Here is a 23,847-nt window from a genome sequence, read left to right as displayed (position 1 = left end):
TGCAACTGCAGTTAGCATAAATTATTATAGTTTCAAATGGAACTCTAAACCCAATTTTAATGAGTAGAGTTGTTGCTTTCTAACATGAATGTGGGCATTAAACTGTCTATGCTGTTAGTACAACTCAAAGTATGCTGTGGTTTTGCCCAAAGATGCTGCAATGAACCTCTATCAAACAGCATATGAACTTGGTTGTTATTACAAGTTTTACTCATACTACCCATAACACACACATGCACACACACACACACCACACACATGCACACACACGCAAGCACCACATGCAAACTTTCTTACTTCTTTAAGAATGAGGATTATGGTCTTTATCTAAATCAACTGTTTGGGCTCTGGGTGTTCAATAAGTCAAAAAGTAACCAAGAATTTAGGAAGGTAGAAAGACTTGTAAAACTATAGACAACCGGAGAGAAATAGAACAAAGGTACTTAGAGACAAAGAAGAGAAAATGGTGAATGAAATTAACAGTGGGAGGGATGACAGGAAGCAGAATGGTCACATATGACTTGTGTAGACCAGTAGTACTCAACCCTGGTCAAACAATAGAATTACCTGGGAACTTTGAATAAAATATCCTTTCCTGCACTTCATCACCACAGATTCTGTTTTAATTTGTCTGGGGTGGAGCCTGGACATGAGTTTTATTTAAAAATGCTTCAGGTGAATTTATATGTGCTGTCAGGGTTGAGAGTCACTGATGTAGATTGTGGGGACCAAATATTGGGTGGGCAGATTATAGGATGCCCAGTTAAATCTGAATTTCAGATAATCACAGGGCTAAATAGTCTTTATAAAGATACATTATTCTTCACTCGTTTACATTTGAATAATATTATGCTTGTTTGAATGTTATTTTTTTTCTCTTAAAGCAGTAGGTTCTTTGATGGTTTAATCCAGCATTTCTGTGATTTATTTTCAACTTTCATTTTAGATTCTGGGGGTACATGTGCACATATTTTACCTGAGTATATTGAATGATGCCAAGGTTTGAAGTACAATTGAACCCGTCACTCAGGAAGTGAGCATAGTGCCCAATAGGTAGCTTTTTAACACTTGATCTCCATCCTCCCTCTCCCTTCTTGTATTCCCAAGTGCCTATTGTTCCCATCTTTATGTCCATGTGTACCCAAGGTTTAGCTTCCACTTATATGTGACAACATGGTGGTATTTGGCTTTCTGTTTCTGCATTAAATCACTTATGATAATGGCCTACAGCTGCATTCATGTTGCTATAAAGGACATGATTTCATTCTTTTTTATGTCTGTGTAGTATTCCATGATATACATGTATCACATTTTATTATCCAATCTACCACTGATAGGCACCTGTGTAGATTCCACATCTTTGCTATTGTAAATAGTGCTGCAATGAACATGAGAGTGCATGTGTCTTTTTGGTAGAATAATTTATTTTCCATTGGGTACATACCTTGTAATAGGATTGCTGGGATGAATGATAGTTCTGTTTTAAGTTCTTTGAGAAATCTCCAAACTGCTTTCCACAGTGGCTGAACTAATTTACATTCCCACCCACAGTATCTAAGTGTTCCCTTTTCTCCCCACTCCCACCATCTGCTATTTTCTGACTTTTTAACAAAAACCATTCTGACTAGTGTGAGATGGTGGTTTTGATTTACATTTTTTTTTATGATTAGTGATGATGAGAATTTTTTCATATTCTTGTGGGCTGCTTGTATATCTTATTTTGAGAAGTGTCTATTCATATCCTTCACCTGCCTTTTAATTGAGTTGTTTGTTTTTTGTTCATTGATGTGTTTAAGTCTCTTATAGATTCTGGATATTAGGCTTTTGTGAGATGCATAGTTTGAGAATACTTTTTCCCATTCTGTAGGTTGTCTGTTTACTCTGTTGATAGTTTCTGTTGCTGTACAGAAACGCTTCAATTAGGTTCCACTTGTCAAGTCATATTTTGTTTTTTGTTTTTTTTTTTTGCTTTGCTTTTGAGGATTAGCCTTAAATTCTTTGCCAGGGTCAATGTCAAAAAGGGTCAATGTCAAAAAAGATTCCTATGTTTCCTTCTAGAATATATATATATATATTTTTCCAAGACACAGTCTTGCTCTGTCACCAAGGCTATAGTGGAGCCTGGCCTCGGCCTCTCAAAGTGCTGGGATTACAGGCGTGAGCCACCACACCTGGCCCCTTAGAATTTTTACAGTTTGAGGACTTACATTTAAATCTTTAATCTAATTTGGGTTAATTTTTGTGTATGGTGAACGGTAGAAGTCCAGTTTCATTCTTCTGCATGTGGCTCACCAGCTATCCCAGCATCATTTATTCAATAGGGAGTCCTTTTCCCATTGCTTATTTTTGTTGACTTTGTCAAAGATCATATGGTTGTAGCTGTGTGTCATTTCTTCTGGATTCTCTATTCTGTTCCATTGGTCTATATGTTTGTTTTTGTACCAGTACCATACTGTTATGGTTACTGTAGCATTCCAGTATAGTTTGAAATTGGATAAGGTGATTCCTCTGGCTTTGTTCTTATTGCTTAAGATTGCTTTGGGCTGGGTGCGGTGGCTCATGCCTGTAACTCCTGCACTTTGGGAGGCCAAGGTGGGTGGATCACCTGAGGTCGGGAGTTCCAGAGCAGCCTGGCCAACATGGTGAAACCCCGTCTCTACTAAAAATACAAAAATTAGATGGACATGGTTGTGTGCACCTGTAATTCCAGCTACTACTCACTAGGCTAAGGCAGGAGAATTGCTTGAACCTGGGAGGCAGAGGTTGTAGTGAGCCGAGATCGCATTACTGCACTCCAGCCTGGGCGAGAGAGCAAGACTCTGCCTGAAAAAAAAAAAAAAAAAAAGACTGTTTTGTGTTTTGGCTATTTGGGCTCTTTTTTGGTTCTCTATGAATTTTAGAATAGTTTTGTACTAATTTTGTGAAAAATGATGTTAGTATTTTGATAAGAATAACATTGGTTCTATAAATTGCTTTGGGCACCATGGCCATTTTAACAATATTAATTTTTTCAACCCATGTGCCTGGAATATTTTTCAGTTTGTTTGTGTCATCTCTAATTTCTTTCTGCAGTGTTTTGTAGTTCTCCTTGTAAAGATATTTCACTCTTTGTTTGATGTATTTCTAGGTATTTTATTCTTTTGTGGCTATTGTGAATGGGATTGCATTCTTGATTTGGTTCTCGGTTTGAATGTTAGTGGTGTATATAAATGCTACTGATTTTTTACACTGATTTTTTTAAATCCTGAAACTGTACTAGAGTCATTTATTAGTTCTGAGAGTCTTTTGGTGAGATATTTAGTGTTTTCTAGATATGGAATCGTGTTTTCTAGATATGGAATCGTATTTTCAGCGAATAGAGATAGCTCGATTTCTTTTTCTACTTGGATGCATTTTATTTCTTTCTCTTGCCTGATTGCTCTGGCTAGAACTTCCAGTACTACATTGACTAGGAGTGGTGAGAGTGGGTATCCTTTTCTTGTTCCAGTTCTGAAGGGGAATGCTTACAGCTTTTGCTTGTTCAGTATGATGTTGGCTGCAATTTGTCACAGATGGCTCTTATTATTTTGAGGTATGTTCCTTCTAGGGCATTCTGTATTTGTATGCACTGAGGTGTAGGAAGAGATTTATCTTTGAGTTCTGGTAGATGGAAGGAAAAGGTCTGGCATTTTTCTTAATGGAAAGAAAAATAGCACCAGGCTTTAGCAAATAAGTGATGGAATCAGGTGAGTGATAGAGAATAAATATACGAATAAAACCTTCTGAGTTGACCAAATGACAATTTTTATTTTAATTCTTCCAATGATAAAGTCTCAGGAAATCAAATCTCTAGGGTTTCCTAAGAAATCTAAGCAAAATGAATTAAGGAATTTTAAAATGCAATGACAATAGATATTCCAACACCCAAATCTTGTTCTTCATCAACCGTTTATCTTTGCAAGCCCTCTAAATAAAACATCATATTAGAATATAAGACAAAGCAAAGGAACTAATATTAGTTTAGAAATTGCCCTCAGTCTCTGAACTGCAATGTGGATGTCAGCGTGCTTGTCTGAACCGTGTGCATGTGCACACATGTGCGTGTGTGTCCACAGTGAATAGGTGAGGACTTTTGTCAAAGTGTGGTCACTAAAATGAACAAACCCAAACATAACTGTACATACTCCCATTCCACAGCTTAGTCTAACATGCAAAAAGGGCATGATTAGAGATTGTTGGTCATTAAGAAGAACAGGAGGAAACGTTCTGGAGCCTTGGCACTATGCCTGGGGAAGAGAGGATCTCAACACCCCTCAGCCATCTCTGGGCCAGAGGAAAATCACCTAGGGGTTGTCCTAAAGAGTTCCACGGGAGAAGAGATTATGCTGTCTGATGACCCCTTACGGTTTTCTCCAGTATGTCCCTACTTTTTTTTGTCCAGCTGAGTTTATTAAACTTGTCCTGCTTCTGAGGTCGGTTTCTTTTCTACCATGTGAAGGTTTAAATCTGCTTTACTGTCTTTGCTCTCTTTTCTTACTTTTCCCAGAATTCCTACACTTACTACATAACTAAAAACTGGATTTTAAGCTGATTTCACTCTTCAATGAGTTTCATTTCTGAGATTTTTCTTTCAAAGCCCTAACAATAGTTTTCGGTTCATATGACAAACTCAGGAGGCTTTTCACCTGACACTGGGATACTCCCTCTGTTTCTGAGCAAACCTGGTTCTTGGAATCAAAGTATTGCAGAAATAGATCTTTTTATTTCCTACTAAATCTTTGCATACAAATTAATTCCATTAAGTTCTACTTGTATTTTCACCCAGGTTTATGACTCATACTCAATACAATAAGGTCCTCATCCCTCTTTATTTGTTCAGTATTTGTCACACTCTAAGTTTCTGAAATGCACAATTACAATCTAGGATTTAGCTCATGATCTCTGAGGGCCCTGATCAGCAAAGAAAGTGACAGAAGGACCCTAGATGTTTTATAGAAGTCTGTGTGTGCATGCATGTATGTGCATACTTTTTTGTTTTGGTTTCACTTTAACTCTCCTAATCTGAAGACCATGATTTACAATACGAATAAATTAAGAGCACATGGTTGGAGTAATTCAGATTGGCTGCAGAAAATCCACTGGAGTCCCCTGAGATGAATCTGGCAGGGTCGCTTCTGACCAAATATGGCAAAACGGCCCAGAGCTAGGTACTGAATCAGAGACTCTATGGCAACCAACCAGGTAGTAACTTCCAGTGACTGACATTAAAATTCCAAAAACAAAACAGAATAAAACAACAACAACAAAAAACTTATACAAAACAGCTGTGCTTGTTTTGTGGCGAGCTTCACCTGGTCAGTGGTGAATATTCTATTTGTAGAATTTTGCCTGGAATACCAGTTTCAGCTGCACTGGGGTTGGAGGGTTACTCTGAATTGGTGGCTCCAATTGTCTACTTTGTGCATTAGTAGTGTCCCTTAGCAGTTTATTAGAAATACAAATTCTTGGACCTATTCCAGACCTACTGAATCAGAACCTTTGAGGGTGAAGCCCAGCCCAGCAGTTCATGTTTTAACCAGCCCTTGGGGTGAGTTTGAGAACCACTGCCATAAACACTAATGATCCTTTCCAATATATGAGCTTAGATTTTGATGACATTTGGTCACAATTCTGCTATTCACTTCCATCATATCTCCTCTGATCCTGAGAAATGTTGGCACTGAGAATAGTGCAGGGCAAAGAGACACGTACAGCATTATTAGCTGGGGCTTTCACTGAAAACCCCAGGGTCTCTTTCTATTGTCCCCATATGGTTGGAGTCACAAGAGTGGGAGAGATGGCCAAGCTCTCTGCAGAGGATCCTGGCAGCAGCCTGAACCCTCTTGCTACTTCCATCAAAGGAAAAAAAAATCAAATATTTACCCCCACGAGCTTATAATATTACAGAGAACTCCACCATCCTGCCCTGCAAAATATCCTGGGATTTGACTAATACTAGAGCTGCTTTTCTAGTCCTTGAGTGACTAGGAAGGAAGAACCAAAAGCTTGACTCCCCTGCAGCAGTGAGTCTCTGGCTTTGGTTTGCACAGGAAACCATAGGGTCACGTAAAATACACATATTCGGGTCTGAGAGGTTCTAATGAAGATGATCTAAGGTGTGGAGCCCAGAAATCAACATTTTAATAAGAATCCAAAGAGATCCTAATTTACTTGCTTCTATTAAAAGTTTAGAAAACCACTGCCTTACACAACTTTGGATACAACACATTTAGCCTACACATTATATCCATTTTCCAACCTTCTTAGGTGGAGATTTCAGAACTTTCAGCAAAAAGGACAGATAGTTGTGTGATGATACTATTCCCACATGTTCATACAGCACTTGTACACTTTTAAAAGTTCTTTCATGTTCAACATCTCAAAATAGCAAGGGCAAAAAACGGCAATGCTTTAAGAATGCAGCTGTTTTGATTCAAATGTTTTTAAAAAGACATTTAAGAGTATATATGTGTGGCCAGAAACATTGTGTAGGGATTAATGTCATGGATGAAATCAGGCACTATGGAACAAGCTTCCAAGGGAAATTCAAAAGAAGATACCTGTTTTTCTTAGTGAGAATTAAGGTAATTTTTGCTGCAACTGCACTGGAGAGTTCCAGCTCTTTTCAAGGCGGTGGTCTAAAATATAGGATTATGTACTTTTTCCATACTTGGAAAAACTTACAGTGTAACTTCCACAGCATACTGCCAAATAAATACTAAATATGTCTATTTGGAAGACATACTTTTGGCATTTGGAACAGAGATGTAAAAATCAACCAAGATGTCTCTTTAGGAGTGGAGGGAGACCTCCGAAGAACACATTTTCATTTTGTAATAGTAAAGGATCAGACATCCTTTCAGGAATTTCCTATTGGGCTGTAGCTGAGCCAGTTACTTTTGTTAGAAAAGCATGCTAATACAGCCAAGGTTACAGGTCCGATTCTCACATGCGGGAAAAAAAAAAAACTATTCTCTGGTCACAAATCCTGAACACTAGCCAGCTGCCTTGCAAATATGTGCCATTGATCATAAAAGGTTTTCATAAATATCAAGGCACTATAAATACTCCCATGAAATAAAGCAAAGCTTTTCCATACTGCCGCCTGAAGCTGGGGCTTCATCTCTGTTGTATGTAACATTTAATTGGATTTCAAAATACTGACTGCATTGATGATATCATCTTACTTTTGTGCACCATAGTCTTAAACATGCAACTGTTAGGGGAATCCAAGACAGAACCTCTCAAACACTGAGTAGATAACACTATGTAGAAAGATACTCATGGTTAATTCTGACATTTTAATCTGAAGACCACTATTTTATAGGCAAATTACCTAGTAAAGTTTTTAAAAGAACTTTTTAACAATTGCTAAATTGATATATGATATGACATTGCTATAACTTTGTTTTTGTTTGCTTAAGATTTTTTTCTCATATGATTTAGGTTATAGATAAGTATGCACGATTCTAACATGGAAAATTTATTGTAACTAAAATGAAAGATTACACTTAGTTTCACCTTGTATGGAATGCACAGTAGGCATGTCTTACAGAAACACATACACATTAATCTATATCATCACACCTGTGTCAAATTTCTCCAAAGAGAAAAAGAAAAACAAACAAACAAAAAAACCCAAGGAGGGGTCTACTTGACTATCTTCTTCTTCTTTCTCATTTATTTTCTGTTCAGATTTTTCTCCTTTTAAACAAGGAAGATAGAAAGATAAAAATCTTTGTTCCAAGAGGAACTGTGTTAAAGTAGGTTTTAAGGGTTAGAGCCAAAGGCCTTTGTCCTTGGTCATCTGCAGCAAAACAAACATTGAAACACGAGTCTGCAGATAACTAGCTGTGATGGTCTCTGGGGTGAGAGTCTCAGGCCAAAGCCGAGTTCTATTCCACCGCTACTGGTGATTGTTAACGCTCTGCCCCGGGTTGAAGAAACAGTTAGCAGGAACAAGGACGGCTGTGCTCCATGTTCCATGTGCTCTGTGAGCCTCGCTAAGTGAGTATGAACGACCAATAAGTTATGTCCTTGAATAGAAACTCTGGATTAATTTTATAACTATGTTACCTCATAGTTAGACAGGACCTTATACATTATCTGGTGAGATAATGTATAGTTAATAAATGCTAAATCTTATATTGTAAAACATTGCCTTATGTCATTTTGAGATTTGACTGAAACATAAAGTTTACATACCAACACATGCTGACTTAGCCTGGGTTACCAAAAAAGCAAGCGGATGTGCTGTCACTTTGTTAGAGAGTGCAGACTCAGAGAACAGAAGATGCAAGGGTGGTGCATCAAATCCCTAAGTTTCCAGATAAAGAAATGACCAATGAAGGTCCAAAGATTTGTCCAAAGACACACAGCTGGTTAGACATGGTATCCCCCAGCTATTAACGAAAATCATCACATTTCAACACCAGAAACATTTTAATTGCCTTGAAAACACTTTAAAAGATAAAGCGACTAATGCCTGCAATAGTGTGCCCGACTCCCACCCAAGTCTTTATCCTCATTCTCTCTCTGAATATCACATCTCCCTTTTCTCTCCACAAACTTCCCCTCCTGCTTCCATTTTACCTCATTTTTGTAAACCATGTCTGACCCTCCTCACACTGTATCCCTTAGTCTCTCCCCGACTCTGAGAGGCATATAATTGTGCAAACTCAGGAAGAAGGGAAGAATCAAGAATAACAATTGCTGACATGACTTGGCAAGTTTTGTTAAAGGTTTTACATTTTGACAAAAAATTTCAAATCTCCTCACTAATAGTGTCTGCATCAAAATATCCAGCTTTGCAATGAAAATGAGCCATGAAAAATTCAGGAATACTGTAAGAGATTTGACATTTTAACATCTGATGGTACTCTTACTGGTAGGTGTATCAGGCACACCTTATGCACTCTTTGTTAAAAAAAAAAAAACCCTAGACTTCTGTTTTTCATTTTCTTCTCCCTTAAAAAAAAAGCTTGCCTGTTCTCACTCATAAGTGGGAGTTGAACAATGAGAACACAGGGACCCAGGGAGGGGAACATCACACACCAGGGCCTGTCAGGGGGTGGGGGGATAGGGGAGGGATAGCATTAAGAGAAATACCCAATGTAGATGATGGGTTGATGGGTGCAGCAAACCACCATGGCACGTGTATATCTATATAACAAATCTGCATGTTCTGCACATGTACCCCAGAACTTAAAGTATAATAATAAAAAATGCTTGAGTGTGTGCACTGTATATACAATGCATCTTGGGTGTTATATAGCTAATAAGGCATATTTCCTTAAGGGTAGCACTTGGAAAGCTCTTGCCACAATTTGCCAGTTAGATTACACACATCTGGTGCTATGTTAACCTGGCAATTACATATAGTTCCTTTCTTAGCTTCTTGGGAAAAAATGATAATTAGACAAATTGGGGATATGTTCAAATTAACATTTAAGTTTTTCTCAGTTGAGTAAACTGAGCAAGGACCCCTATAAACATTTTCTTCTTAGAGCCACATAAAACTCTTACCCATTTTTTTATGGTTAAAAAAATGACCTTTTAAATGTACAAAAGTCAAGTTTAATGGTAACATTATAACATTGGCTCAGTAATCCACTCTACAAATTGGGGCTAGGTATATTTCTCCCTGAATATTATATGCCAGAAGAACTGTTAATTAACCTCAGCTCTACCACATACAAATTTTGGAAGTTTTGTCACTTCATACAATCACCATAAGCTCTGTGTATATTTTTACATAGAAATAAAATTATCCAATTTGCATACATCACAAGATTACTTAAGAACCAAATGAAATAATATATGTGAAAAAGTTTTGAGTATGAAAATAATTTTACAAATATAAGATACTATTTTTGTTGCTCTCTAAAAATTTATTTTATTACACTAAATGTCTAGAATTTAATATGATCTTATTAGATAATATGAAACTTGTATATTCAGTGTTTATTAAATATTAAATCTGACTGTAAAACACATAAATCAATTAATAATATACTAAAACTGAAATGCTATCTATTATACTATAAGCAAGAAATGTAATATCTGCTTAAAAAAGAAAATAGCATAAACTGGAATAACCAGAGGGAGCTTCATAGACTCATACCAGGCCATGAGAAATCAATAATATCTTAGTAACTGGAGAGGATTTGAATAAATGGAAAGCAAAAGAGCAAGACAGGGAAAACATCCAGCAGGGGCAAAAATCTGAAATGTCAGACTGAATGAACCACTTGCCAGGTGACATGGACAGACCCTATTAAAAAAATTTTAAACTATCTCATTCTTGTTCTTTGCACAAATTCAAATCCCTGAATTCTTCTACCCAAAGGAATATGTGGAAGAATTCGGGACCAATAAATCATCAAGGAACACTTTGTTCTGAAATACTCAATGTATCCTGTCTCTCATTGCTCTTCTTCTACCAAAAGTAATGTAGACCATTTTGGGCAGCCTGTCAAAATTCACCTTGTCACTGCACTAATTAATGTGTCTATGGCTAGAAAGGCAATGATAAAAATGGCAATCCAATGTCTCAGATTTAATCTCTAATAGCCACTTCCCCAAATACAACCTGTAGAATTTATAAATCAAGAGGAAAATGTGTTCATTATTTCAAATCAAGTTCAGTATGGTGACTCTGATCTATCCAGTTCATACAGTACTAGTTATGATTGGCCAGATCAACTGTGGCCTAAGAGTAAAAGAAGCAAGGATCCAAGAAAAGAGAAAACAGAAAGAGAATGTTTTATCATGGTGATGCTTGGGATTGTCATATAACTGGAGGCAACCAAAGAATCAAGTTTTGCCTGTAAAATCTGTCCTGGTTGTCTCAGAAACCTAGAAAGAGTAGGCACACAGGATGCTGGAATACCTTTATAATGTGCTGTTGGGCACACTTATCCCCAGTGGAGGAAAGCTCACTTATGCTGGTCCCCATCCCCCAAAGGAGCTCAATGATTCCTGATAAGGGAGTCTCATTACTGCAGCATGAATCACAAAGCACTTGTGAAGATATTGAATCACTTGTGTACTGCCTCCTTCTGTTTCCCTACTTCTTTGAGGCGGCAACTGAGTTACTACTTATTAAGCAAAGACTTCATATTGAGCTAATTTTGCCTTCATATTTCTCCTATCCCAGTGACCTTATATGTTAATTCAACAAAAATTTATGTAATACTTATGATATTTCAGGTGCTTTCTATGGACTGATGGACCAATGACAGTGGATCTCTTGGATAGATACTGGATCTCAGAAATTATTTATTGAGGCCACTGAGCACTTACAGTATTATTTCACTTCTTGCTATGTCAAGGTACCTTGCTTTATTGTTTGCCACTTTTTAAACATGAAATTTTGTACAAAGCCACCATTTTACCAGTGGCATATCAAGAATATATAGCAAGTCCCTCTGCCTAGACATCATCCACTTCAAGTTTTGGCATAGAATAGGTTAGGGATAGGTGTGGAAGTCGCAGATGCAGGACCTAGTAGCTGCAACTTACCTCATCCAGACCTTGCTGTCAGCACAACTGAAAACAGATGGTTGAGGACTAGTGTCATTCCTTTCAGTGACTCATAGCAACTACACCTGACTCATGGATTTGACATTAGCACTAGCTCCTTCATCAGAGGCAAATGGGAGGCTTCAATGAATTAGGAGAATAGTTTCTCATCACAAAGAGATTTTGCCTTTGAATGAAGTGGAGACAGATTTCCAAGCCATGATATTAAATTATTAAATCTTTGGTAATCCAGCTTACCCTTTTAATACATTACAGTCCCATGGAAAAACACTGCTGTAAGAAGAAAATTATTATTCCAACTTCACAAGGTATTTTCCTGAGCTAGAAGAAAAATAGTTAAATCTCAGTCAAGCCATGAGTGTTACAGCAATTTCACTCTTTCACACTTATGTCCATCCTGTTTTCTTTGCCTGGAAGTACCACTTCTGTCCACTTGGAAAACCCATCATGGATGTGACCCTCTGGGTGAAGTTTTTTCTGTTCTCCCAAAGGTAGACAGTAATGCTCTCTTCTTTCTTTCATTACATATCCTCATTGAACACACTTTCATTGGAATGCTGATTGTTTTAATGTTCATTTCAACTCAGTTCTAAACTCCTTGAAAACAAAGACATCTTTATGCTTGTTTCCTTAGTGCCAGGCTAATAGCAGGGATTCAATTCTTGTTTGTGAAATAAGCATTGTTATGGTCACATGACATAAGTGGCTAACATTAAATGGACAAGGGACAGAAATCCACAGTAACTATTTGTCCATGTTCCCAGTGACTTCCCCAGCTGTGAAAAGGTGTGAATCACCGACACTATTTCTTCCATTCATGGTAATAATGTCAATTCTGAATAAAATGAATGTCAAGGGAAGCCTCAAAATGCAGATATTTATTCATTCAGGTAGGCATTCAGCAAACATTTACTGATTAATCACTACATGCCATAAAAGATGAGATAAATGTCACAGTGCCTGTCCTCAACGAGATATGAAAATAAGTCACTAGAGTACAGGGTTCTAAGTGTTAAGCACTGAAATAAGACGAGCAACTTATCCAGACCAGGTGAGTCAGAAAGGATTCTCTGAGGGGGTTATGCTGTATGTCCTGAAAGACCAAAAGGAATTAAGTGTGAAAAAAGCATAGTGAGCATTCCAAGTAAATGAAAGAGCCATATGACTGTTCACTGCTGAGAAAGAAGCTAGCACTTCTGTGGACCTGGGAGTAGTTTGATATAGCAGGATTTGTGGCCTCAGGAATAAAGACAGAATAAGGAAAAATGAAGTTTACCTGGTTATAAGCTAGTAATGGAAAAGTATAAATGCATGTAAATGAGCCTTAGGTCTCTAAAGGTATTAATTTAGTGGATTCTAACTGCATGATCCAGAAGTTCTTATAGGACAGTTTTGCTCAAATCAGAGTTGGGGACAGACAATCAAATTTAACATAATTTGAGGATTTTTAAAAAAATGTTTAAGACAATTATACTATTTACTAATATTTTTAAAAGTAGATCATGTCTACAAGGCAGCTATGCCAAACATTTTTAAATAGAGGTTAAAAATTAATGTTTTAAAACATTCTTTTAAGCCTAGAAAAATGATAACCAACTGATTTTTAAGATATTGGCATGGCTAGTTTGCAGAAAAACACATTTTGGTAAACAGATTATATATTTTAATTCTTGAGCACTTTATATTGACCAGACAGTCTAATGGAGTTTATCCTCATGAGTGAGCGATTTGACTTAGAACAAAATTAAAGCGTCCATAAGAACCTTCAACAGTAATTTCTTGGACTGAATTTAATCTAAATTCAGCATTGTATGAGAAATGCGACATTTCTGCTAACTCTAATTCTGATTTTTGTCTTTGAATTCCCAAATCAGCATTAACTCCCTCTAGAGTGTAGCTGTCATTTTACTAAATCCATGTACAGGAGACCTACTTGTTTTTCTGAGAAAATCATGGAGCACAGGAATAGTCTTATTTCCAAAACGATGCCCAAAGAGGAGAATACAGAATTATCAAGGGATATACTTCTTTAAAAGTCAGGAAGAGCTAGAAATCAGTTCCAGTGGTAGAGCAAACCTCAACATTATCTATACAAATAGAATAATTCAAAATCCGTGCTAGGATTTTCAAAAGTCTCAAAATCGTATTTGTAAACTTTTAATGAATAATAAGAGAAACCAAATCAAATTGTGTGTACTTATTTACATCGACTGAATTCAAACATTTAAGAATCTTCTAGAGTAAAAGTCTGTGCTGTTTCAATTGGTACACAGAGATGAGCCCAGTGACCCCCATCTTCAAAGACCTTTCGTTGTGTAAGAGCTGATGGATATTGTCCTTCACCAAATATCTCTTCATTATAAATGGAAAAATGCTCATCCACTGACTAAGCACTCTCTGTCACCCTCTGTGTTAACAGGTAAACATTTCAAAGCCTTTTGGAAAGGCAAAAAGTAACTGTGATGAACTAGAATTAAGATATGCTGATGAGTTGCTTCTGCAGTTCATTTAGAATGTCATTCAGGAATTTTATTGACAGACAAAACAAAACAAAACAAACAAAACAAAACAAAACAAAAAACCCCCAAAAAACCAAGAAATAGAGTTAACAGGTCTATCAGTACATAAAAGTTGTTGGAAATAAAAGGAAAAATAGTTTCTTTGTAAATCAGCAACACAAAAGAGCAATGTAGAAGAGAGAAATACAAAAAGAGGAGGACTCTTTAAAGACCTAACCAAAAATCCTATGATAAATTGATAAATATATGAGAAAATGTTTTGCAGCAAAAAATGCTGCATGTATCTAAGTTTCAAGATATTTCCAAAATATTAATTCTCACCACACATTTGAGATCAATGGGCATAATATCTGCCATTGGTGAAGAAATGTGCCAATTGCCTAGGGCTATGTAGCTTGTCACTGTGTGAACCAGGACTAAAATAGGATTCCTGGCTCTCTGGATTTCTGATATCCAATTTAGCAGACTTCAGCCTTCCACTAGATACTCTGCAAGTTAAGCAGCTCTCATATCAGTTTATGCCAACTGCTTAAATGCCCTTTCAGCAGTTCAAGTGTTATAAGTGTCTAGTGCCTAGGGACCTAATATGTCCTCAAGGGCTAGTACCTATTATTATTTGAAGTTAGATGTTAGTAAGAGCTTTAGAAGCTATTATTTCTATATATATATTTCATATTAAAGCACTAATGCTAATGTCTTATTGAAAGAAGGCTTAATTGCATATAGGCTGTGGAGCCCCAAATTTATCTTTAGATAGGAAACTAAATTCCCCATCTTGATAAAATGAATCAATATTTATACAATATCAACACACTTTGTTAAAAACATAAAAAAAAAACAAGCAGCTGGAAGGGGGTAGGTATGTGTGCATATGTGTGCTTATGTTGGAGTAGAATTTGTTCTGCGTCATGCCACATAACCAGTTCACTTTCCATGAAATCAACTGATTGTTTGGCATTGGATACACACAGATTATAGAAAAGTTCCTCATGTTTCAATTTTTTGGTTTTAAGTAAAAAACACCTCTTGCTTAGAAACATGTTTCTTGTTGACATGACTGAAAAATCTGGAACTTAATAGAAGATTGAAAATCAAACACAAGAAAAGTAATGTAAGGAATGTAGAGGAATGGGAGGAAGAAAGAGAAAAAGTGTGAAAGAGGAAGTGGTAAGAGAATGTGTGTTATAATAAAAATACCATTCACTCAATGACTATTGTGAAACTACTCTTTCTAGGCACTGTTTTGGGTACTGAACAAAATATCATAGGCTGACATTCTAGTGAGTGGAGAAAGAAAATAGACATAAATTATCAGGAGGGATTTATCCTATGGCTATATTGGCATTTTAAATAGGATTAGCTTAAAGTTTTAAATAACTAGATTAAAATTAAAGTTTTGAGGACAGCTTAAAATAGGAATTGTTTACCCATGTATATCAACACTGTGGTGAATAGTTCAAAATAAAAAGAATTTCTATTAGGTGTTATTTCAAGCATCATGCCCTTATGTCCCCCAAAACAATTTATAATAAAACTGCTACTAACTTTATAGGGGGATATTTCTTTGTTTAATCTTTGTCTTTGTATTTCTTTGCGTAATCTTTGAAGCAGTAACTGTGGCCTTTCCTTCTCATCTTCAAATCCTCATTTTCAAAGCCACTTGCTTTGTGTCTTCATAGCAGGGTTAAAGAGGGGTCGACTTGGATAGAGTCAGACTCCAGAATTAGTTTGATAGCTTTATATTGACTCCACAGAGCTCTGGAGCTCTACACTAACTGATTAAAAAGTGAACAGGTAAAAGTAATGAAATGACACCATGAAGGGGACCATAGTAGGGGAAGTTAACATACAACTCAGCAGACCATTAAATTATCTCTCTTGATTTGTTCCAACAACATACATAGTCTTAGTGCCATATGTTCTGTATTACCAACATGTATCTGAAACTCATTCAGGGTCACTTTCTTTTTTAAATATCCAACTTTGCTTTATACAGTCTTCAAGCAAAATACTGTGCATAGCAGAGTCTTCAGCATGATCATATCCTTTTATATTTAAACAAAAACTTCTTTCAAATTTATATAGCATTATGAATCTCTAACATTTTGGATTGGAAGATGAAAGTGTTGCACATTCATTCGTTTATTTGACCATACGTTCGGTCATGCAACAACATATATAGAAACTTTATAATACCAATGCACTACGCTAAGATCTATGGATCGAGAGACAAAAGACCCATTCTTTCTAAACACAGAAGGACGACAATTTTGAAAGTTTGCTGACAATTTTAACATAATGTAACTAAGTGCCATTATAGAAGTATTCACAGAGCGAGGAAATGATGGTATCTAACTTACCCTTCGTATGGATTATTGCACAATAATTCATAAAGGAGAAGCCACTCATCTTAAGTCTTGATGAATATGTCATATAAACTGCAAGGAGGTGGAAAGAGGGAAGATCCTTCTAAACAGTCTTCCTATTTCCCAAAGAAATTAAAAATACGTGGCAGGAACCTCGGCCCTGCGCCCCAAGTCAATAATGTAAGTATTTCTGAGTCATAAATTCCATCCTTCTGCTACCATGTCTAGAAGTACTTGTTAATGGGTGTAATTATATGGTATCAAAAGCACAGAAGTGGTAATTGGGGTACAGTCAGTATAGGGGGTAAAAATTATTTTCCCAGAGGAGGATTGGGTTATGAGTTTCCAGCTGGGGAGCCAAACTAGCGTTTTTTTATGGACTGTACCAGCCTTTTGATATATGTCCAATGTGTAGCTTGGTGAGGAGGTCTCAGTGTTTACAAGGTGCTCTAACTAGCATCCTGTGTAGGTTAAGACCAGGTAACAAGCTGGATGTGTCAGACCAGCTCTCAGTTCCACAAAATCATCTGAAGCACCAGAGTCCACTATTACCTTTGGAATGGTATGACAGAAGTGCAAGGTGGGATGGATACCCACCCTGCTGAGAGGCCAAGTGACTCTTTGAGGTGGGTTCTGTGTCTCTACATTCTGAGAACCCATGGACAAAGTGGATTTCCATGGTATATAACCAACTCTTGGAGGGCAGCAGGTGGTCCCAGACTATATTATCCAGTGCACAAAGTCCCTGAGAAACTCACTGAATTTGTCAGCACCTTTGCAGCTCATTACTAGAGCATTTTTGAATTCCTTATGAGCTACATACAGAACTAGCAGTGCTGTCTCAAGCTTGTTGTTTTCTCAACTCCTGATGCCACTGTTGTGCTATGTCCCTGAACCCTATTTTAAGTGGCCACTGGCAGAATTTCTCCTGTAACACAAGGAAATATGCTGATAGCCAAGCCCTCTCCCCACCACCCAAGGAAAGGAGTGATTTTTTTCTGGATTCCCATACAGTATGTATAGATAATTCCATCTAAAGAGAAGCAGAAAGCAAGTGCACCTGCTTCTGTCTCTTACCTTGCAGCACCCCTTCTATTTTCTTTTAAATAACCAGAAGAAAGCTTTCTACTTCTGGCTGGGCCTTTGCTTAGATGAAACTCAATGACCAAGTCCTCCAGGTTCACCTCTTGTTATATGGAATGAAGACCTATGAAATTCACAAATCTTTCTAATTTCACAAGTAGCTTTTTCCAAGACTGTTGTTTTGCTACATTTGCTGGTAACTTTGTTCTGTGAATACTTCTTGCTGACCTCCCTGGGGAAAAGCAGGTTGAGGGTGACAAGAGAATATTATATATAGGGGGGAAAATAGATTAATGTTTGCAAAATACTATTCCTGTATCATTGGGAAAGAAAGTGGCCCAAATAATTCAAGTGTATGATACTTCAACAGGTAAATGAAAAGAAGCCTAAATACGCGGGTTTGTAAATAGAGTCCCTGTATCTGCAGGTTTAACTGGTCAGTCTTTGACAGGCTTTTAAGCAAGGACATTTCAATGATGTGAGGAAAAAAAAAAGTGCCACAAAGCTTTGAGAATCAATTATCTATATGTAAAAAAAAAAAAAGAAAAAAGGCTTGCTTCAAGGTGTGTATAAGCAATTACCTTGTTAACGCAGATGTGAAAGTTAGGCAAGAGAGGGCTTGGATGGGAAGAGGGTGTGTAAGAGCAGAGAGTGTGTAAGTGCAGAGAAAGCACTCTTCTAACCTTAACAAAGACAAGAACAGCTCAGTAAGTCATGTGCTTTCTGAGAGAAAATGGTGAGCCTTTTACATATAAATAAAGGAATTATCTAAACAAAGGAAATAACTGCATGTGTTGGAAGACACTAAAATATCTGAATAATTTTTACTACTGCGTGATCTGAAGTTTCTTTCAAAAGCTTAATAGTTTCTTCCTATGTCTCAAACAGGGACTATTTGAATTTGATTAAGAGTCAAGGCCGGGCATAGTGGCTCACGCCTGTAATCCCAGCACTTTGGGAGGCCGAGGCTGGCGGATCACCTGAGGTCAGGAGTTTGAGACCAGCCTGACCAACATGGAGACGGATCACCTGAGGTCAGGAGTTTGAGACCAGCCTGGTCAACATGGTGAAACCCCATCTCTACTAAAAATACAAAAATTAGCTGGATGTGGAGGCGGGCACCTGTAATCCCAGCTACTCGAGAGGCTGAGGCAGGAGAATCGCTTAACCCCAGGAGGCGGAGGTTGCAGTGAGCTGAGATGGCACCATTGCACTCCAGCCTGGGCAACAAGAGTGAAATTCTGCCTCAAAAGAAAAAAAAAAAGAAGAGTCAAAGAGTCAAATGCACACTATTCCAGGTCAGGTATGTGTTGGAACACTAGACAGTTCTGCAAAATGGAGTATAAAAAAGCAAAGAGAATACTGCTATTCTCAAAATTAATGAATTTTTGCTGTAAAAGTGAGGTCTTTTGAAATCAAAGGTACTGAGTTCATTATAATGCCTCATGGCTTGAGGAGCTCAGAATATACATTGATAGGATATTCACAATGATCTTACTTCATCTTATAAAGTAGCAATTAAATATTTTGAAGTATGGAAGCTATTTTTGGTCTGATTTTTGCTCAAACAGTATAAAAGAGACATAGGCAAAGTAAAAGACAAAGAATTTCTTACAAATATTACTACTGATATTACTGTGTTTATTCTATAAAATTTTCACATAAATTTATTCATAATAAATCTGTAGAAGTCTTATTGCTACCTTCAGATTTCTTCAAACCGAGTTTGTCCCTCAGTCCTCCCTCCTTCCTTAAGCGTGGATTATTATTTGTTTTTTGAAGGGGAGGAAGCTCCACTTACTTTTCTGCTCCTACTTCTGATCAAGGTATTTTTACTTTACCTTTCTTTTTAAAAATAATTTCAGCTGGTATTTTAGATTTAGGGGGCATTTGTGCAGGTTGGTTTCTTAGCCAGGAGTTGGACATCCAGGGAGTTCTCCAAGCTACACCCAGAGAAACAAGGGGTAACCAGGTCAGGGTCAACCAGTTACTGTACTTAAGTGGGCAGGAGGGAAATTGGAAGACTGGGGGTGTGTGGAACCAAACACAGGTAATATCTCAACACATTATTCTGCCATGCAATGATATATACAGTGTTTATAGGGATGACAGAGATGAGAAAAGGCTTAAATAAAATATACCTCATAAAAGATTGAAGAGACAGTAAAATGATACCATAGACATAGATAATGCTTACAAATATTTCTCGCTCCTCTCCCTTTTTGCTCTGCCATTCCTGGTGTCTCTCCTGTAGGTTGTATAATTGGGGTTGACATGATTTGTCATCTGTACCATGACACGCATTATACAGAATGCCAAATTAGATCCGTGCACATTCCAAGAAAAATGAGAAAAGAAACACCTTCAAAAACACTGTGATACTTGCTTTATTCTGTGTGTGTGTGTATAAAGTCATTTGGATCTGCCCATACGTTGGACTCTTAGCTGATTTTTGGTGCCACATGAGTCAGTTAAGATGAGAATGGTAATTTGTTTGAGTGGATGTGGTAATGCATTGCTTTGGAAGCAAGGTGCCCATGTACTAGGGCATACCATGATAACAGGAGAGCATGGAAAGGTATGGATTGCAGAAGGGGTTTGTATGCTCAGAATGATGAAGTGAGATGAAAACTTTTTTAGATTTCTGTTCCAAGTACTATATGGGGTGGGGGAAGAAAGGAGAGAGGGGATGAGAGAGAGGAGGAAAAGGAACAGAGGAGAGAGAAAGAGAATAAATATAAAGAAAGTCCTAATGGTTAGGACTTAGTGTGATGAGAATTGAGGCTGGAGATCAACATCAACCTCTGTGTCCATGGACCGAGCATGAGGGGAAGCTCCAGCATCGACCATGGAACAGCTGAGCTCCCAGCCAGCAGCCAGAGTCAACAGTGTAATGTACTGTAAAAGATCCAGGAAGGCTGAGGCCAAGAAGAAGAGACAGAGGCCTGTGAGCTTTAAAAGACACAGAAAATCTTGGCACTCTCAAAACTGAGAAAGAAGATAATGGATCCAAATCGAAAAATCTCAGCAAAATATCCAAGCCAAAGAGGCAACTCACCTCATCACAAAATGTAAAAGGAGGTGATAGGGTAAAGATTCCTGTAATTTAGAAAGGAAAACAATTCTTTAAAAAGGAAAAAAAAAAATCTTAGCTTTGGAAGGCAGAGAAACAGATTTTGTTTTTGATATTTTAAAACATTCTTTTTCTCTCTCCCTGTGCATATTTTCATCTGTCAGCATCTGGCTTCACATAAACCAGCTGCTCACATGTAACTTTTGGGTTGTAAATCTTTTTCCTGAGGACTCTGCAGCATGCAACATGGATACATACTACTCTGGTACTAGGAGGGCTCACCAGAAACAAGCCAAATAACACCCTACTGTGTTAGTCACAGTATTGCCCTAGTTAGTTGAAGATGCCCTTCTCCAGGCTTTCTGAGTGGTTTTCTGAATATTCACAAGTATCTGCCCACAGTTACTGGGAAACAGGTGGAAAACCCACATTTGGGAGCTGATATATCTTGATCTTCACATTTCATTTCCCTGTTTTATTTCCTGTTTTATTCCCAGTGAACAATCTCTGTTTTTATTTCCCAGTGAACAATCACAGTGATAACCTACCAGTTTCAGCCTGAATGTGATGGATGAAGCCAGCTATCCGTTGCTTTGCAAATGTTGAGGATTTAAACTCCAAGCAGCTGATGGAGTTCTGGATCGTTCCAAAATCCTTCTTCTGGTTGTCTCTACAGCTCCTGTTTCCAGTCTTGGCATCCTGCCCCTTTCTTCTTCTTGGATTTTTATCCTAGATTTTTCTTTTTTTGTATCTCAATTTGGAATATATGATCATATTACTATACACTTGGGCTTTCTGCTCAGATCTTTGTACTGCACAATCTTGAGTCTAGAATTTCCAACAACTTTGGATTAAACATATTTTCATTTCTGGTCAAACCAGGCAGAACCCACAGTTTCGCCAGAGAAAAAGGATTAAGAAATATTTCAACCAAAGTAGTACCAATTTCCATAAACACATGTACTTTTGATACGAGTACCTGAGAGGCTAATGAAAAACATAGGTTAAGTAAAATACATTTTGTCCAAAAATAAAGATGGCATTTTCTTTTCCTAATAGATAAAATGCTTCTTCTAACACCTTGCTAATATTAAATATGTGGCTTAATTTTCTCCAGCAACAGAGGTACCTTACAATAAACGCAAGTAGCTGTCATGTCCTTTTTGAGAGCAGTGAGTCTAGACATCTTGCAATTTATTGGGGACTTTCCCTAAGAAAGCAAATTACCTTAGATCCATTGAAAATACCTTCTTTCAGGTTGATGGGAGACCTCACAGATTTATTGAAGGTCACTTTAAGAAAGACGGAAGGGGAGTATCATTAAAGCCTAAGTGTTTTGAGGGGGAAAAGGGAAATAGAGAGATGTTGGTCAAATGGTACAAAGTTTCAGTTAGATAGGAGGAATCAGCTCTGGGAATCCGTTGCACAGCATGGTTACTATAGTTAATAATAATGTAAGATATACTCAAAAACTGCTAAGAAAGTAGATCTTAAATGCTCTTACCATACAAAAATAATGAGTATGAGAGGTGATGGATATGTTAATTAGATTGATTTAATCATTGAATAACGTATACATATACTGAAACATTACGTTATATAATATAAACATATGCAACTTTAAAATTTGTCAGTTAAACCTTAATACAGCTGAAAAAAATTGTCCCAGGTTGATTTTTAAAAATAAAAGAAGGATGCTGGTTTTAAAGTCCATAAGTCGGGGACTACAAAATACCCTAAAATGTAATGCTCCTGAAGCCAGCTGGTATTCATGAGAGAGACTGTGTATAGAAATGAAAAGAAAAGCAAGCTAAAATTTGCAAATCTAGAAAACAGAGCATGGGTGTAAGGAGAAGAGTTTGTTCCTGATGGGAGAGGCCTGTGCAGGTAGCTGCACTATCAAGATATCACTACAGCAGTTCACTAGCAGGGCTAGGTTTTGTGGCAAGACCATGAAGCACTTAGCAGCAATGATAAATGGATCAGACTCCCTTTTGTAGTGCCACTTGGGCATGGAAACAAGATTGACCCTGTACCATTCTGATTGTAATAGTCTTCAAAGTATTTCTTTCTCACCTTTTTAAGAAAAATATTCCAAACACCCAGAGAAGAATAACATAATAAATGCCTCTGTACCCACTACCCAGATTTATCAAATTCTAATAATTGCAACATGTCAACGTCATATTATTTAAATAAGTCATTACCGATGTATTTCAAGCTCCATTTGTAGCCACCCCAATTGCATTCTTTTCTCTTTTTCCTATGTTTGTCATTCCTACTCATGTTTTCATTTTTACTATAAATGTATGTCTTTATAAATAATACATCATATAATTTTTTATGTTTGAAATGTATATTTTGCTGGAAACACTAAATTTATCGATGTGTGTATTATTCCTCAAACAACTTTTAGTTCTTACCTTTGTTTTTGAGGTTTATTCATGTTAATATATGTATACATTCCATAATTTTTAAACATTTCATTTATAGTAAAGAGCCTGACTCATTTTTGATGTTTCACTGCTGACAATTTTCAGGCCCCACCACTCTTTCTTACCCTTCTGCCCCACATCTTGGCAAGCTGATAAAAAAGCCAGGTGCTTACTTCTTTGGCACAAAAATCCTAGCCTTAGTGTGTACATAGGAACACTCACTCCCCACGTGGGTTAAAGGTTATCTCATGTGGCTAGGAGTTTACCACCATAGAAACTCCAGTCTTCTTTCCCTAGACTCTTAAGCTACATTTTAACCAGCTTGGGAAACTTCCTTGCTTTCCCCAGAAAATCTCATTATGTGAGTAATAAACCTTTCATAACCTCTTAGTGTGTGTGGCAATATGGGTCTAGAAATTTGATCCAAAGTTTGGGTGGGGAAGTCCATCCTGCTTCTGCAAGATGACTACGTTATCATACAAATATATCACATTTTTTTTTACCTGTTTTCTATTTGATGGACAATTTTTTTAATTTTTAATTTTTGTAGATACATAGTAAGCATATATATTTATGGGGTACATGACATATATTGATACAGGCAGGCAATGTGTAACAATAACATCATGTAAAATGAGGTATCCATCCCCTCAAGCATTTATTCTTTGTGTTACAAACTATTCAGTTATACTATTTTAGTTATTTTAAAATATATAATTAAAGTATTATTGATTATAGTCACCCTGTTGCACTGTCAAATACTAGGTCTTATTTATTTACAAACATTAACCATCCTCACTTCCCCCTAC

At 37.1% G+C, this 23,847-nt stretch overlaps 1 annotated feature.

Annotated features, from left to right (window-relative positions):
• Positions 10,789–11,988: an enhancer, noted in NCBI's record as "P300/CBP strongly-dependent group 1 enhancer chr2:181520993-181522192 (GRCh37/hg19 assembly coordinates)". NCBI's record gives its function as "activates an origin of replication core promoter dependent on BRD2, BRD4, P300/CBP, MED14 and CDK7 cofactors, with strong dependence on P300/CBP, by STARR-seq in HCT116 cells {active_cell/tissue: HCT116}" and the evidence as "EXISTENCE:reporter gene assay evidence [ECO:0000049][PMID:35650434]".

Source organism: Homo sapiens, chromosome 2 (assembly GCF_000001405.40).
Source record: "Homo sapiens chromosome 2, GRCh38.p14 Primary Assembly".
Taxonomy (NCBI): domain Eukaryota; kingdom Metazoa; phylum Chordata; class Mammalia; order Primates; family Hominidae; genus Homo; species Homo sapiens.
The sequence above is the reverse complement of the archived record's forward strand: the minus strand, read 5'-3'. Positions and strand labels throughout refer to the sequence as shown.